The sequence below is a fragment of the Homo sapiens genome (genome assembly GCF_000001405.40).
Source record: "Homo sapiens chromosome 22 unlocalized genomic scaffold, GRCh38.p14 Primary Assembly HSCHR22_UNLOCALIZED_CTG1".
Classification (NCBI taxonomy): Eukaryota; Metazoa; Chordata; class Mammalia; order Primates; family Hominidae; genus Homo; species Homo sapiens.
This window is the reverse complement of record NT_187386.1, coordinates 1-16,811: the sequence shown is the minus strand read 5'-3', so window position 1 is coordinate 16,811 and position 16,811 is coordinate 1. Positions and strand designations below refer to the sequence as shown.

General features: G+C 55.8%; 1 protein-coding gene, 1 long non-coding RNA gene and 1 pseudogene across 7 annotated transcripts; 2 read left to right on the top strand and 1 right to left on the bottom strand.

The window, feature by feature from the left end:
• Positions 1-3,753: 3,753 nt before the first annotated feature.
• Positions 3,754-13,176, top strand: LOC102724151 (putative POM121-like protein 1). Of its 4 annotated transcripts, none has more exons than XR_002958853.2 (3): positions 3,754-5,632; positions 8,942-9,148; positions 13,094-13,158. It is a non-coding gene; the product is annotated as a putative POM121-like protein 1 (long non-coding RNA). The 4 variants fall into 4 exon arrangements; XR_007068545.1 differs by lacking the exon at positions 13,094-13,158 and adding an exon at positions 9,524-9,944 and having other exon boundaries at positions 8,945-9,148; XR_001756147.2 differs by lacking the exon at positions 13,094-13,158 and adding an exon at positions 9,524-9,944.
• Positions 9,592-15,944, bottom strand: LOC102724751 (breakpoint cluster region protein-like; annotated as a pseudogene). Its single transcript, NR_171775.2, has 5 exons — positions 15,872-15,944; positions 14,615-14,749; positions 13,564-13,832; positions 12,925-13,087; positions 9,592-11,070 (listed from the first exon to the last, which is right to left on the bottom strand). The product of NR_171775.2 is annotated as a breakpoint cluster region protein-like (transcript).
• Positions 9,817-15,775, top strand: LOC124905330 (uncharacterized). Of its 2 annotated transcripts, none has more exons than XM_047442802.1 (5): positions 9,817-9,899; positions 10,955-11,060; positions 12,588-13,222; positions 13,879-14,793; positions 15,686-15,775. In XM_047442802.1, exons 2-4 carry the CDS (start codon positions 11,011-11,013, stop codon positions 14,013-14,015), a joined length of 822 nt encoding a protein of 273 aa, XP_047298758.1. In that variant the 5' UTR covers positions 9,817-9,899; positions 10,955-11,010; the 3' UTR covers positions 14,016-14,793; positions 15,686-15,775. The 2 variants fall into 2 exon arrangements, with proteins under 2 accessions (XP_047298758.1, XP_047298757.1); XM_047442801.1 differs by lacking the exon at positions 9,817-9,899 and adding an exon at positions 10,133-10,247.
• Positions 15,945-16,811: the final 867 nt, after the last annotated feature.

Below are 16,811 nucleotides of genomic sequence, written 5' to 3'. Positions count from 1 at the left end.
ACCCAGGAGTTCCACACCAGCCTAGGCAAGATGGCAAGACCACGTCTCTCCAAAACAATTTTTGTAAAATTAGCCAGGTGTGCTGGCGTGGGCCTGCAGTCTCAGCTAGTGAGAAGACTAAGGCAAGAGGAACCCTTGAACCCAGGAGTTCAAGGCTACGGTGAGCTGTGATCACCTCTCCAGCCTGGGTGATAGGGTGAGACCCAGTCTCTGAAAACAATTAAAAATAAAAAAAGTTGAATAATGAGTCTTCTTTTTAGAGGCAATGTATTTTTCCTCTTTAACTTTTTGTTTTCCTTAGGCTATATGCACAATAGACAAAGTTGAAATTTAATCTTAATCTCGTAAACCCTTACTGTCCAAACACATCAAACTCAAAAAAAAAAAAAGACAAAAACAAAAAAGGTGAAAGGTGTACAAGAGAAAAAAGGGAAGTAATCTGTGCCAAATGTACATTCCTTCCACAATTTGGGACAAAAATGATGTCTACCTGGTCTCTGGGTGCCAAAATAAGACATTAGAGACACTCCCCTCCTTCAAGAAATAAAATTGGAATCAGACACTAAGATACAATTAAACAGACTTTGAAAGTTGGTATGCACTACTGGGAGGTGTCTCACAGCTGGCAGGGTCAACTGCAACTAGAAGAAAAGCTCCTAAGGGCAGAAACTAAGTGGCTCACTTCCTCTGTAACACTGCCGTGCCCAGCACTGTACCAGCACCCCAGCAGAGTCAACAACTTTCCGTCAAGCCACACACTTACGGTCTCATCGTCCAGTGGAGGCCGCAGATGAGACATAGTGTGCCAAATCCCAAATGCACAGGGTGCCAGACAAGTCTGCGGGAGGCAGGAGGACTAGGGAAGCCTTCCAGGCAAGGTGATGCCTGAGCTGAGTTGTTTTTCTTTTGAGTTTGGAACATTAATTTAATCGGAGGAAAACAAGGGACATGAAAAGGGCAAGGAAATAAGAAAATGAGCTGAGTTTTGAAGGCAATGATCGGATGAAGTGAGAGAAGAATATTCCAGCAGAGGGAGACAAGGAGACTGCAGAGATTTCAAGGGGCCAAGAGCTGTTCAGTGCAGCTCAGTGAAGCACCTAAACAGAGGTGGGGGAAGGAGAACAGGGGTCAAAGCCCAGTATTGAAGTGTTCTGGATACCAAGCTAAGGAGACCTTATTACGAAGGTACTGGGGCTGCTGAAGGGTTTAAATGGGAGAGTGATTGTGAACAGATTAATAGTTTGGAAAGATACAGGCAGAAGTAAACCTCTGGATTTAACCAAAAAATAAAGGACAGAACCACAGTGAAGATGTTGGAAAAGATCAGGAAAAACACTGTTAAAAGATATTCACTCTCGGGGCCGGGCGCTGTGGCTCACGCCTTAAATCCCGGCACTTTGGTAGGCCGAGGCGGGCTGATCACGAGGTCAGGAGATCGAGACCATCCTGGCTAACACGGTCAAACCCCGTCTCTACTAAAAATACAAAAAAAATTAGCCGGGTGTGGTGGCGGGCGCCTGTAGTCCGAGCTACTCCAGAGGCTGAGGCAGGAGAATGGCGTGAACCCGGTAGGCGGAGCTTGCGGTGAGCCGAGATCAGGCCACTGGAATCCAGCCTGGGCGACAGAGGGAGACTCCATCTCAAAAAAAAAAAAAAAAAGAGAGAGAGAGAGTCTGACTCTGTTGCCAAGACTGGAGTGCAGTGGCGCGATCTCGGCACATCACAATCCCTTCCCCGCCCCCGGGTTCAAGTGATTCTCCTGTCTCAGCCGCTGGAGTAGCTGGGACTACAGGCGCGTGCCACCATGTCTGATTAAATTTGTATTTTTACTAGAGACGGGGTTTCACTCTGTTGGCCAGGCTGGTCTCCAACTCCTGATCTCGTGATCCGCCCGCCCCGACCTCCCAAAGTGCTGGGATGCGTGAGCCTCCACGCCTGGCCACTATTTTTTCTTTCTTTCTTTCGTGTGTGTGTGTGTGTGTGTGTGTGTGTGTGTGTGTGTGTGTGTGTGACGAAGTTTCGCTCTTGTTGCCCAGGTTGGAGTGCAATGGTGTGATCTCAGCTCACTGCAATCCCCGCCTCAGCAGGAGAGCAGGAATCTTCAGTGATCCACTGGCGGATCTGCAGCCATTGTGCGCGCCAGGTCTTCCCAAGTCTTTTGTGCGCGCGCCTCTCCTTCCAGTACCTATGCCGCCAGCGTCCCCTAGCCTCCCGCCATTGCCAGCAGGTGCTGAGATCGCGCCATTGCACTCCAGCCTGGGGGACAAGAGCGAAACTCCATGTCAAAAAAAAAAAAAAAAGGATGAAAATTTTGGAAAAATATGGAAGAAACCAAATGGATTTCTAGCTCAACTAAATCGTAATTATTCAGTGTCTAGTTTTGGCAAGAAACCACATATTTCATGTCCACAATCAGGGACACAGTCCCAGCTCTCAAGTGTGGGTCTTTCCTAAGCAAATTGAAGAACACAGGCATAAAAGTACATTAAATCAATAAACCTTTTTCTCTCTGTCTCTCTCTCTCTCTCTCTCTCTCTCTTTTTTTTTTGAGGTGGAGGTTCGCACTGTCACCCAGGCTGGAGTGCAGTGCTGAGATCTCGGGTGACTGCAAGCTCCGCCTCCCGAGTTCACGCCATTCTCCTGCCTCAGCCTCCGGAGTAGCTGGGACTGCAGGCGCCCGCCACCACGCCCGGCTAATTTTTTGTAGTTTTAGTAGAGACCGGGTTTCGCTATGTTGGCCAGGCTGGTCTCCAACTCCTGACCTCGTGATCCGCCCGCCTCCGCCTCCCAAAGTGCCACAGCCCAGGCTTTTTTTTTTTAAGACAGAGTCTCGGCCCGGCGCGGTGGCTGACGCCTTTAATCCCAGCACTTTGGGAGGCCGAGGCGGGCTGATCACGAGGTCAGGAGATCGAGACCATCCTGGCTAACACGGTCAAACCCCGTCTCTACTAAAAATACAAAAAATTAGCCGGATGTGGTGGCGGGCGCCTGTAGTCCGAGCTACTCCCGAGGCTGAGGCAGGAGAATGGCGTGAACCCGGTAGGCGGAGCTTGCGGTGAGCCGAGATCAGGCCACTGGAATCCAGCCTGGGCGACAGAGGGAGACTCCATCTCAAAAAAAAAAAGAAAAAGAGTCTGGCTCTGTTGCCCAGGCTGGAGTGCAGTGGCGCGATCTCGGCGCATCACAATCCCTTCCCAGCCCCCGGGTTCAAGTGATTCTCCAGTCTCAGCCGCCGGAGTAGCTGGGACTACAGGCGCGTACCACCATGTCTGACTAAATTTGTATTTTTACTAGAGACGGGGTTTCACTCTGTTGGCCAGGCTGGTCTCCAACACCTGATCTCGTGATCCGTCCGCCCCGACCTCCCAAAGTGCTAGGATTATAGGCATAAGCCACCACGCCCGGCCTCTTTTTTTTCTTTTTCTTTTCTTTATCTGGAGACTGAGTTTTGCACTTGTTGCCCAGGCTGGAGTGCAATGGTGCGATCTCAGCTCACTGCAATCTCCACCTCAGCAGGAGAGCAGGAATCTTCAGTGATCCACGGGCAGATCTGCCGCCATTGTGGGCACCTGTTCCTCCCGCGACCTTTGTGCTCGCCTCTCTCCTTCCCGTACCTATTGCATGACCCCCCACGTCCGCCTCCCGCCATTGCCAGCAAGTGCCTCGCGCGGGTACCTGGCTGCGCTTATTAATCCGTTAAGCTCGCTCTGTCACGGGCGCCGTGATGTGCTCACGCGCCCGCTCCCTCAGGTTTAAAAGGCGCGTTGCCCGGCAACAGAAGAAACTGCTGGCTTAGCCGTTGGCCGAGTTGGCGGCTGGACGAGGACGCTCCGAGCCCAGCTCTCGAGAGTTCAAGCAACCGACGGTTCCCCACTGCTCCCAGGAGCGGTTACCTGGGCACTCTGTGCCCCTCCTTCCTGTTCGGGCCCAGGCCGAGGACCTGCCAGTAGGGCTCAGTTGCCTGGAGCCCGTTCAGCCCATCCCCCAGTTCACTTTGCCTGTGGGATCTCCCCGTTGCTCCTGCCCGTGGACTGAGTGGCAGGCCATCCTACAAGCACCCGGACACTTGACATCAGTGGTGTCAAGACAACTCTAAGAAGGTTTTCCGTGATCCTGCAAGCCCTGCCTTCCTTCCTGGGATCCTGCCTTCAATTTGATTGCACAGGTACCACAGCAAGCCAGTGCTGTGTGCTCCGAGTTCCAGGGCGTCCTCCAGCTCAGCCACTGCACTGAGAACATGGACTCTCTGTGGGGCCCAGGAGCCGGGAGTCACCCCTTTGGGGTCCACAACACCCGGCTGTCCCCAGACTTGTGTCCAGGGAAGATAGTGTTGAGGGCCCTCAAGGAGAGCGGGGCAGGGATGCCTGAGCAGGACAAGGACCCTAGAGTCCAAGAGAATCCTGGTGATCAGAGAAGGGTCCCCGAGGTCACCGGGGATGCACCGTCTGCATTTCGGCCCCTGCGGGACAATAGAGGCCTCTCTCCCTTTGTGCCCGGGCCCGGGCCTCTGCAGACAGACCTCCATGCCCAGAGGTCAGAAATCAGATATAACCAGACATCCCAGATCTCCTGGACGAGCTCCTGCACCAACCGAAATGCCATCTCCAGCTCCTACAGCTCCATGGGAGGCTTGCCGGGGCTAAAGCGGAGGAGGGGGCCAGCCTCATCCCACTGCCAGCTGACCCTCAGTTCCTCAAAGACAGTGAGTGAGGACAGGCCTCAGGCTGTCTCTTCAGGTCACACCCAGTGTGAAAAGGCAGCAGATATAGCACCAGGGCAGACACTCGCCCTCAGGAATGACTCCTCCACATCCGAGGCCTCTAGGCCCAGTACACACAAGTTTCCCCTGCTGCCACGCAGGCGAGGGGAGCCTTTGATGCTGCCACCTCCCTTAGAGCTGGGGTACCGGGTCACTGTTGAAGACCTGGACCGGGAGAAGGAGGCGGCATTCCAGCGCATCAACAGTGCACTGCAGGTTGAGGACAAGGCCATCTCGGACTGCAGACCCTCACGGCCTTCCCACACTTTGTCCTCACTTGCAACAGGGACTTCTGGTCTGCCTGCCATTTCTAAAGCACCCAGTATGGATGTACAGCAGGAGACACACAAGTCCCAAGACTGCCTGGGCCTACTGGCCCCCTTAGCATCTGCTGCAGGGGTCCCCTCTACAGCTCCCATGTCTGGGAAGAAGCACAGACCACCAGGCCCCCTGTTCTCCTCCTCAGATCCCCTTCCTGCCACCTCTTCCCATTCCCAGGACTCAGCCCAGGTCACCTCGCTGATTCCTGCCCCCTTCCCAGCTGCAAGCATGGATGCGGGCATGAGAAGAACAAGGTGTGGCACTTCTGCTCCTGCAGCTGCCGCAGCAGCCCCTCCCCCCTCCACATTGAACCCCACGTTGGGGTCACTACTGGAGTGGATGGAGGCCCTTCACATTTCTGGGCCTCAGCCACAGCTGCAGCAGGTGCCCAGAGGTCAGAACCAGAGATCCCAGACCTCCCGGACCAGCTCGTGCCCCAAACGAAATGCCATCTCGAGCCCCTACCACTCTACGGGAGGCCTCCCGGAACGAAAGCGGAGAAGGGGGCCAGCCTCATCCCACTGCCAGCTGACCCTCAGTTCCTGAAACACAGTGAGTGAGGACGGACCTCAGGCTGTCTCTTCGGGTCACACCCAGTGTGAAAAGATGGCAGATACAGCACCAGGGCAGACACTCGACCCCAGGGGTGGCTCCCCCAGATCCCAGGCCTCTAGGCCCTGTAGATGCAAGTTTCCCCTGCTGCCACGCAGGCGAGGGGAGCCTTTGATGCTGCCACCTCCCTTAGAGCTGGGGTACCGGGTCACTGCTGAAGACCTGGACCAGGAGAAGGAGGCGGCTTTCCAGCGCATCAAGAGTGCACTGCAGGTTGAGGACAAGGCCATTTAGTACTGCAGACCCTCACGGCCTTCCCACACTTTGTCCTCACTTGCAACAGGGGCTTCTGGTCTGCCTGCCATTTCTAAAGCACCCAGTATGGATGCACAGCAGGAGAGACACAAGTCCCAAGACTGCCTGGGCCTAGTGGCCCCCCAGCATCTGCTGCACAGGCCTGTAGTCCCAGCTACTCAGGAGGCTGAGGCAGGAGAAGGGCATAAACCCGGGAGGCAGAGCTTGCAGTGAGCTGAGATCGCGCCACTGCACTCCAGCCTGGGTGACAGAGCGAGACTCCGTCTCAAAAAAAAAGAAAAAGAAAAAAAAGTTATTGTGACATTTCTGTATGAAATCAGCCTTCACTACATGGATAGGACCAGCACGCTTCCGCGGCACAACTCTGCAATCATACTACATTTTTTTTTTGTATTTTTTTTATTCCTTTTGAGACAGAGTCTCACTCTGTCACCCAGGCTGAAGTGCAGCCGAGATCTCGGCTCACTGCAACCTCCACCTCCTGGGTTCAAGCAATTCTCCTGTCTCAGCCTCCCAAGTAGCTGGGACTACAGGCACACGTCAAAAGGCCTGGCTAATTTTTGTATTTTTAGTAGAGATGGAGTTTTGCCATATTGGTCAGGCTGGTCTCGAACTCCTGACCTCAGGTGATCTACCTGTCTTAGCCTCCCGAAGTGCTAGGATTACAGGTGTATGTTTATTTATTTATTTAAGATGGAATCTTGCTCTGTATTTATTAATTTATTTAGTTGAGATGGAGTCTTGATCCATCACCCAGGCTAGGGTGCAGTGGTGCAATCTCGGCTCACTGCAACCTCTGACTTCCAGTTTCAAGCGATTCTCCTGCCTCAGTGTCCCAAGTAGCTGGGATTACAGGTGCCTGCCACCACAGCTGGCTAATTTTTGTATTTTTAGTAGAGACAGTGTTTCACCATCTTGGCCAGGCTGGTCTCGGGCTCCTGACCTCATGAACCACCTGCTTCAGCCTCCCAAAGTGTTGGGATTACAGGCCTAAGGCACCATGCTCGGCCATATTTATTTAATTATTTAGAGACAAAGTCTTGCTCTGTCACCCAGGCTGGAGTGCAGTGGCGCCATCTCAGCTTACTGCAGCCTCCGTCTCTGAGGTTTAAGCGATTCTCATGCCTCAGCCTCCTGAGTAACTGGGACTACAGGTACTCACCACCATGCAGGGATATTTTTTTCTATTGTTTTATAGAGACACGGTTTCACCATATTGGCCAGGCTGGTCTCGAACTCCTGACCTTAGGTGATCTGACAGCCTCGTCCTCTCAAGGCACTGGGATTACAGGCATGAGCCGCCAAGCCCGGCCTCTCACTACATTTAAGTGACGCCATGGCTCATGCCTGTAATCCTAGCACTTTGGGAGGCCAAGGCAGGTGGATCACCTGATGTCAGGAGTTCGAAACGAGCCTGGCCAACATGGGGAAACCCCGTCTCTAGTAAAAATACAAAAATTAGTCAGGTGTGGTGGTACAAGCCTGTAGGCCCAGCTACTTGGAAGACTGAGGCAGGAGAATCACTTTAAGCGGGAGGCAGAGGTTGCAGTGAGCCAATCTCAAAAAAGAAAGAAAAAAAAAAAGAAAAACATATGATGCTGGGGCATCTCGGCCTCAATACCTGCATGAGCACAGTCATGTCCAGGCCAGGGCTGCTGGTCGAGGTCCGGCCCCATCTCTTCCAGCAGAAAGGGAGTAAGCTTGCAGGGAGGCTGGGGGACAAGATCCCAGGATCTCAGCCTCTGCTCATGGATCAGCTCTGAGACCCCGAGTGAGCTGGGGGTGCTCTGTGCGCATTGGTTTCCCCAGCTGTCAAGTAAAGGGATTGGATGAGGAAGTCTTGTCAAGGTGGAATGATCTCAGATTTGGGGCAGCAGTGAATGATCCCGTTCCCTGGGCCCATGCCAGTGGCCTGGCCTCGGCTCAACACAGCCCCAACACTCTGGAATGGGGATGAGGGGGCAGTCAGCTCTTGCTCCTAGTAAGAGAGATGCAACAGGGCTCTGTGGCTGAGCTGGGTGCCTTGCCTCACACCTGTAATCCCAACCTTTGAGAGGCCGAGGCAGGAGGATTGCTCGAGGCCGGGAATTTTGAGAATAGTCTGGACAACATAGCCAGACCCCATGTCTACAAAATAATAATAAAACACACAGCTATAGTCCAAGCTACTTGGCAGGCTGAGGCAGGAAGGTCCCTTGAGTCCGGGAATTGGAGGCTGCATTGAGCTATAATCGCACCACTGCACTCCAGCTTGGGTGACAAAGTGAGACCCTGTCTCTAAAAGAAAAAAAAATTGGCCTGTGAGCATGGGTTTGATTTTCAAACAGGACCTGGAGGGTAGGGACAGACAGTGCTGTCACCCTTAGGTGCTGAACACTCAGAAACGGGCCAGCGGCAGCCCTTCCCTCACCTGCAGACACCAGATTGGGCAGAACAGCACATGGCACTTGCAGCTCTTGCAGTGAGGGCAGAACCCAGTGTCAACCCTTCTGCCTGTGGGAGGGGCTGCTGAGGCCTGCGGAGAGGCCAGGGTGGAGGCTCGTCCCCTTGTCCAGCCCTTGGCGTGGTCTCCACCAGGTCCCCAGCCCACCAGCGCAGGGCGCCCCTGAGCCTGCTGCTGCCACGGGCCCTGTCTCTACCCAGGACGTCCCCACACCCTCGCAGTGTCAGGGAAATGATCATGGTGGCGGTGACACTCCGCAGGCAGGGCTGCTGAGAGAAGCTGAGAAGGGTCACACTGCAGGCAGGGGCCCGTGTGACAAGCCCCTCTCACCCCGAGAGAGCTGACCAGGCAGCTCACGAGCAGAGCCACATCCCGGGAGTCCGAGAAAGGTCCTGGCTGGGCTCAGCCACCTCATTGGCCACGGGCAGCCTTTGTCGTGTGAGCCTTGCTCTCCTGGGGAGGCTCAGGCTGACGGCTGATGTGGGCATTGCCGAAGGTAACCGGTGGCCCAGTGTATATGGCCGGGTCTCCTCAAGCTGCATTCATTCAAGTAGGACCCAGGGTGCGTGCCCATCTCCAGCCCAGGGCAGCTCCCCTGTAAGCTGGGTGAGCTACTGAAGCCAAGGCGGGAGGCAGCTGACAACACCCACAGCCCATGCGGAGGTGGTGGAAAGGCTGGACTCAGCAGCAACACCAAATCCTGGACCAGGCAAAAACCACCCAAGACTGAGGGGCTCGTGCCAGAGCGGTGGCCACAGGTAAGAACCCGGGCCCAGGCTGTGTGGCAGGAATCCTCCATGTCCCAGGGCTTAGCATAGCAAAGGAAGACCAGCCGGGTCACCCTGGTGGCCATCTGTCCCTGTCCCACCTGCAGAGTCAGAACAGCCTCTCCCCAGTGGGGATCATCTCTCTCTGCCAAAGCAACAGCGGTCCCTGCCCCAACCAGACTACCCCACTCAGTGGAGTTACGGATGCTGCTCCAGCATCCTAACACTGCCCAGCTGGTGCCTGCCTGTGCTCACCCACACCCCCCAGGCCGGCCTTCCCTGCAGCCTGGGCTTGGCCACCTTGGCCTGATTGAGCACTGAGGCCTCCTGGGCACCCAGCCCCATCACTGCACCTGCTGCTTCCAGCCCCACCCCACCGGCTCAGGGGTTCTTCCCAGCGGCGCTGATCATGAAGTCAACATGCACGCAAGTCGTCTCAGGAAACTTCTTAATGAAAGTGTCGGCCACGGTGGTGTGTAGGTGGCTGAGCTCAGATTGCAGCTGCTAAGACACCAGCCACTTACCAAGAGAAAGCCAGGCTGCTTCAAACCCAGGGCCCACGGCAAAAAAGCATCACTTCCGGCCGGGGAGTCTGGAAGCCACGCCTTGTGGGAGGTCACACTGGCATCTAGGCCTTCGCCTGCATTGCAGAAGGAGAGCCGGGTCCCCCTCCTGGAGAATGCTGTGTTCCCCAGCCCCACACCGGCTTTGCCACCACACAGGCTGTTGAGGCAGGAGGCGGGTAAGACGTAGCTGTAGACCCAAAGCAACCACCAGCCCTGGGACCCTGCGGGAGAGGAGCACTTTTAGAACATGGAAAAGTGTGGTCATCCCATCATTAGACAGCACACATCCTACATAAATAAAAAGTCGTATGGGGAAGGAGGTTGGGGAGGGAATAAAAAATTGGCACAGACATTGATAGACTGGTTTCCAGTTTCAAGGTAACAGATGCACATCATGAGACCAGAGGAGGCAGAGACAAGGCTGGATTTGGCTTTTCTAAGCAACATGTGTTCCTGCGCAGGGCTGAATGGTCACTGAGACAGAGATGGAAGCCAGGACAAGGGAGCCCACCGGGCCCAGATAGGTACAGAGAGCAGAGGCTCCTGTTCTGTCCTCGCCACCCACGAGGGTGACACTGCTTGTAAATGGTGGCTGTGCTCTCCCAGCAAGAAAAAAGCACAACTAAATCCACACTGCACACAGACGCAGACAGAAAGCCTTCAAGTGGCTCTGTTTTCTGCTCCCTGCCTTGCCAGGTCCACAAGCAGAGAGGAGTGTCAGGCACATGGCCCCGCTGTCAGGCTCCCCAGTGAGCTGCGGGCTCAGCAGGAGCTGCCCACTGACACACAGGGGACACCCACTCCTGCCACCTTGGGAGCGGTTGCCAGACAGAGCCGCACTGGGTGCTGGTGTCATCCAGGGACCCCACACACTTCCTTAAATGTGATCCTGCTTCCCTCTGCGCAGCTGCATCCTCTCCTCCTGCAGGACTGTCTGGAAACTTGGCTCTCAGTTTGCTCTCCCTTCTCTCCTCTGCCTGTCCCAAGCCCCTCTTTCTAAAAAAGTGATGCCATGTTCATGGGGTTATTTCTTGAAAATACTTGGCGGCCTCCATGCTTCTGTTTTCTTTGAGCCAGGTGGTCAGGAGGGCTTACAAACAATGCCTGGGCTCCCCCGCAGGTGCCGGCAGATGGGGTAGCGAATGGTCCTGTGCCTCCACCTGCTCCGGGAGGGAGTCTCCCGTCTCTAGGCCTGGCCCCTTCCTAACCCTCCACGTATCCTGTTCTCCAGAGACTTCAGAACCCACTCCTGAGAACAGCGGAGCCAGGCGCTTAGAGGAAGACCAAATGCTGCCAGGACACGGATTGTCCAGGATTACATTCCAGCATCTTATTAGGTATCTGGATCTGTTGGGGAAAAAATTAGAAACTATGTATAAAACTTACAAATATTCAAGTATCAAAAGGTTATTTAGGATGAAAGTTTTAAAACAAGTCATCAGCAAGCTGCTACCACCAAGTGGAGACTTATACAAAAGTTGAGCGAGTCCACTGAGCTGAGAGGACAGAAATGAAGTCACCTGTGCTGGGGCAGGGGCAGGGACACTGGGGGCAGGGAGTGTGTGGGCAGAGAAGCCAGAGAAGTCCAGGCCTGTGGAAGCCAAACAGGAGAGCGTGGGCCGGAAGGGCGGTCAGGATCGGGGGACGAGGTCGCTCTCCCTGGAGAACGAACCCTAAGGTGCGTAGCCTGGGGTTCCCTCCCTGGGGGTCCTGTCCCCCGACATTTCACGGGCCTTCTGAGCTGCCTTCCAAGGAGGACTAACACGGCAACAAAAGAACCATTTCTGCACAAAAATCCTTCTGGGAAGAAAAAGAAGAAAGCCAAGAATGGAGTCAAAACGCTACCCAGTGCTGACTAAGCCTCTCAAACCCTGTTCTAGGTGGACTGTGGTTTCTAAGTCAGGGAAATGGAAGAGGCCCCACCCACACAGGGACAGGGCCACGGCCCCCACAGGATGAAGCAGCAGCGTTTATTCAAGATACAACAGTGAGGGAATCCAGTCACGTTCCCTTCTCCCCAGAGAGGGCGCTTCTTGACAAGTGATTCAGTAGAAATCTTTTAGACTCTATAAGTTAAGTTCATAAAAACCACTGCTTTCACCCTGTCTCCCAGGGCCAGGCCTGGACTCTGAGATGAACTGGTTTGGGGCGCCCTCGGGTGGCCACATAAAAAACCCACAGTCTGAGGCCAGCCTGGGGCTTTCAGACCTGGGCGGGATCTGCCCAGGCCACCTGTCCTTCTGCTTTGGGCCGCTGTCTCTTGGCAGATGGCCTGACACCTGGGGGTGGCCCAAGGATGCCTCAGAAAATCTTGATTCCCACTCTACAGATGGCCTGATTAGCCAGAGGTTTCCAGGCCGTCTGTCCGCCTCCAGGAGATGGACTGGGACCTTTAGACATCGGTGGAGAACAGGATGCTCTGTCCCTTGCTGTCCAGGGCAGGGATGGCCTCCAGCCGCAAGAAGTACAGCAGCACCTCGACCTGCCCTCGCGGAGTGGGGAAGAGGAGAGTGGCTCAGAGGGGGGCTCACAGCTGCTGGTGGGAGGTCTTTGGGGCCCAAGCTCCCAAGTCCACCTCAGGTGCTAGAAACCCCTGCTGGTGTCATGAACCCCTTACAGTGAGACGGGGGTGGGGTGGGGTCCTGACAAGGCATGACTTGTTGGGTGGGGGGTGGTTATTTATTTTAGAGATGCACAGGGCCTTGCTCTGTCCCCCAGGCTGGAGTACAGTGGCTCCATCATGGATCACTGCAGCCTCTAACTCCTGGGCTCAAGCAATCCTCCTGTGTCAGCCTCCCAGATACCTAGGATTACAGATATGTGCCCCAATGCCTGCCTAATTTTTCTTTGTATTTTTTCTGGAGATGGGGTTTGCTACATTGCCCAGACTGGTCTCAAACACCTGGGTTCAGTTGTCCTGCCTCGGCCTCCCAAAGTGCTGGGATTACAGGCATGAGCCACCACACTCGAACACTTGGGGTGGTTTTAAGCCCCCAGCAAGGTGCACCAGCAGGACCAGGAGGTGGCCTGGGCACCCCCTATCACTCCCATCCATGCAAACCTAGGCAAGTCCCTGTCTCTGAATCTCAGCCACCACCACATACAATGCAAGTCGGAAGATGGGCAGGACTGGGGGTGGGGCAGGCAGAGGCCACCTCTGTCAGGCTGGGGTTGCATGGGCTGGAGCCTGTCTTCCCATACCTGGGACATGACCTCCAAGGACCAGCTGTCAGTCATGGTGATGGGCTGGCTGGGGTTGGCAGGGAGCTTGCTCTCCTTCTCGGAGGGCCGGAGCAGCGTGGGGCCAAACACCGTGCCAAGGTTGTGCAGGGACATCTTATTGACTGCCTCCTTCTCTGCCATCCTGTAGAGGACCGAAGCAGAGGGTGCTGTTTCAACGCCACCACCAGGAGAGAGGCAGAGGGGCTGTGCCGTGCTAGAGTCCTCAGGGAGGGAGTGACCTCGACCCTGGCTGTGCTGCAAGCTGACTCCAGCCTTGGTACTTCTGGGTCTCAGTGGCCCAGGACAAGGGGCCAGCTCTGGGCTGATGGGGAGGTCTTCATGATGTGCTTGGGAGGGAAGGGGGGGCGGTCCAAATGCACTGCTGGCCACGGCCAAAGCTCTGAGCTCTTTGTTAAGGCCACAGTGCAGAGGGAGGAGGGTGGCAAAGAGGAGAGGCAGGGGCGGGGGTGGCAGTGGTGCTAGTCCTTAGAAGCAGTGAGTTACTGCAGACAGGGGTCAGGGGATAGGTCCTTGGTGCTGGGGGTCTGGTGGGAGCAGAGGGGCACCCCACGGCCTGGAGACCTGGAGTCCTGGGCAGCCACAAGAGAGCTGGGCTACCTTTCCAGGCGGTCTAGAAGGAAAAGGAAGGTGAGCAGGTTGGCCTCCGGCAGGGACGACAGCAGGTTGAGCATGCAGCTCTTCTTTGCAACTGGGTCTGAAAGAGCTGCAGGAGGCAGTGGGTCACTCCTCTGGGTTACGACAAGCCGGAGACCTCTCCCGAGGTGGTCACATGGAGCGCCCGGGACACGAGTCCTTGCGCAGTTTAGGCTTGTCATCATCGTCACACCCACAGCGCTGGCCGCCAGTGAGGACCCTGTGAGGGGCACCTGTGTGGGGTGTGAACCACCTGAACGCCTTTTCTCTGCCTCGCAGGTGTCAGCAGCACCCGGCGAACAGCAGCAGGAGGAGCCGCTAGAGCAGCTGCTCATGGGCAGAGCTGCCCTCGGGCAACTCCTGCCACCACCCCCTCCCCAGGGAGCCCAAGGCAGGGGAGGCTCAGCATGGAATGAAACAGGGGAGTGAGGGACACAAGGAGGTGGGAAGTGGGAGGGTCCCAGCCCCACCAAGTACACAGAGACCCCCTCGACATCCTGGACACCACAGGGGCACCTGCAGGCTGGGAGACCAGGTCCTCTGTGCATGGGCCCGGGAGGCAGACCTGCCCTAAGGGTGATGCACAGGCTACAGGTGCTGCACGCTCCAGCGCCCACTCTAGACATCAGCCTCCAGGTTGACTAAGGGTCAGGTCATGTTTGAAACCATGCTTGGCTGGACCAGGACCCATGGCAAGAGCACCTGGGCACCAGTGTTTAGCCCTGGTCTGCAGGAAGGAGGACAGCAGACTTTAGGACCCCACAGCACGGCAGTGCTGACCATTTCACCCACTTGGCCTCCTTGAGAAATATGGATGGGGACCCCTCTGGGGATGGGCAAGGCCTTCCAGGATAGGCTCAGTTTTGGTCCCCTGCTTTTTGAGGTTGGGTTAAAATTCCGACCATGGCAGAGGAAGCACAGCTCAGGTTCCCACACCTCACTTTTCACAGCCTCTGAGGGCAGCAGTGCACGTGGAGGAGACGTCTCCCATGAGGCCAAGGCCTCCAGTGCTCACCGATGCCCTCTGCGAAGTTGGGGTAGAACTCGTCAGTGAAGAGGGGCTCGGGCAGCTCACGGAAATACAGCTTCAGCGTGCCTGCGATGGCGTTCACGTCCATCTCGCTCATCATCACTGACACGTCCTTGTTATCTGGAAAGAGCACGGAAATGCAGCGGCCTCCTTGAAGATCCTGAGTGAGTCACCCACCATCCCTGCCTTGGCTAAAGCACCGTCCCTGCCATGCTGACCACTGTGTGGGTCCCTCCTGGGCTTTGAGCAGCTCATCTGACTCCTCCCAAGAGCTGTGCATGGTTCTGTGTCTGCAGAGTTGATAGGGGTGCGTGGGCATTCCCATTCCTCTCCCCTGCTTGGCCTGATGTGATGGCCAGGAGGAGGCCAGCATGGCAGGACACAGCGCCTGCATGGGGATTGGGTGGCTCTGCCCTGTACATAGCAACCACCCCTGCACCAGTGTCTTCTGATAGCAGGAAGGCCGTGGGAGAATCTGATTGGTTTCAGTGTTTGAACCGGTGTCTTCCTTTGGACCCAATTGGCCATTGGTGCTTACATCCTCACCACAGGCCAGGTTCATTCTGGGCCCTCAGAGGGAGCTGAAACTACCACAGGGCCCTCCCAGGGATGCTGAGCATTCTAGGGGTCCTGGTCAGGGTGGGTGGTGTGTGCTGCAAAGAAGGGTCTGCAGGCACAAAATCCTGTTGCTTTGAAGATGCTGGGAAGGACCCTCTGGGGTCTCAGTGCCCTCCCCTGGCATTTGAGGCAGGTCCGGGTCCTTCAAAGCCTGTGAGGGTTGGTGAGATGGAGGCGGAGAGGCTGCAGCCCCGGCCTGCGCTGAATTTCATCAGTGCCCTCTGCCCACCACATCCTCATACAGGGCAGTGGACAGACCGCACTGAGTCCTGGGCTTCCACCTCCTGTCCAACCCCAAGGCAGGAAGGCCAAGGCCCCGCAGAAGCCCCTGGTCCACTCCACCAAGTGGCACGAGTGGGTACGATGGTGTAAAAACTGGCTTCTATAGAAGCTGTTTGTACAACTCTTGTTTTCTCTTTTTTAAAAATAATAAAACAGTAAATGAAGAAAAGACACAGAGAAGGATGTGACATGCCTGGGCCATGGAGCACTCTGAGATCTCATCGTGGACACCACTGCCCACACCTCCATCCCGTCCTGCGCAGGCCGACACTCACTGACGTTGAAGGCTGCCTTCAGTGCCTGGATGTCTGCGGCCACCCCAGACATGCGGTAGATGCCCACCTCCTCCATGCCTCGGCGCTCGATCTCCTCCACGCACTGGCGCACGATGTAGGGCACCTTGGACCTCTCTCTCCTGCGGGAGGAGGGAATGTTCTCAGTGTCCTAACAGCCCTGCTTGGGCCATAACACAGGAGACCTGCTCCCTATGTGCACACCCGGAGGTGGGGTGAGGACGGTGATGAAGGTACCCAGGTCTGGGGCTGCACACAGAGCCTTCTGCATGCCTGTCCTCCCTCTGCAAGCTCTGTCCTCATTGCATGTGCTTTCTCAGGAACCTTTCAAGCGGCCAGAACCCCTGCAAATCACACATGACCTTTGTGGGAAGGTCAGGAGGCCTGTCTAAGTCAAGTCAGCACGGGAAGGGCATCTGACAGATTCCAGGCCTGGGGTGAGCAGCCTGTGCCCCCGGCTGGGAGGTCAGACCCGGTGTTGGTCCTGCCACCCACGTGCTGTGTGAGAGGAGAATCCGTGACCCCTGCCCTGGGCCTTAACACACATCCGACGAATGAATGAAGGGTTGCCTCAGCACCGGTGCTCCAAGTCCTGCGATGCTAAGTGCTTTTCTCCTCTGAGTCTTAGCAATGGACAATTCCAATACCTCCACACAGGACACTAGAGTAAGAATCCTTCACAGTTAGAACGCAGTGCTGTGCGGAGGCCTTAACTTGAGTTCTGTTTTGCACCTGGATTTACCAGCACATCAAAGCTGCTTCGCAAGCCCCCTCATCAGCAGGGCTCATGTGGGGGAGCTGCTGATGGAGTCCTCGCTGCTCATGCCCACAGCCCTCCCAGAGTGCTATGCGAGTGGCTGCCGTGCAGTTGGGGGTGGGGCGTGGTGTTTAGACACAGATAGGAGTCCAGGGTATGACTGATGGAGGCCCCGGCCCACGTGACCAGCAAGGTCAGAGGCCCAGCCAGATTCCATCCTGAGGAAGCAAGT

Bases quoted from the DNA above. Each gene is read 5' to 3' on its own strand.
- LOC124905330 (XM_047442802.1), top strand. From the start codon at position 11,011: ATGCTGCCAGGACACGGATTGTCCAGGATTACATTCCAGCATCTTATT. The intron at 11,061-12,587 runs GTATCTGGATCT...TTTTTTCTGGAG, and splicing joins ACATTCCAGCATCTTATTAG to ATGGGGTTTGCTACATTGCC. The intron at 13,223-13,878 runs GTACTTCTGGGT...TCTGCCTCGCAG, and splicing joins GCAAGCTGACTCCAGCCTTG to GTGTCAGCAGCACCCGGCGA.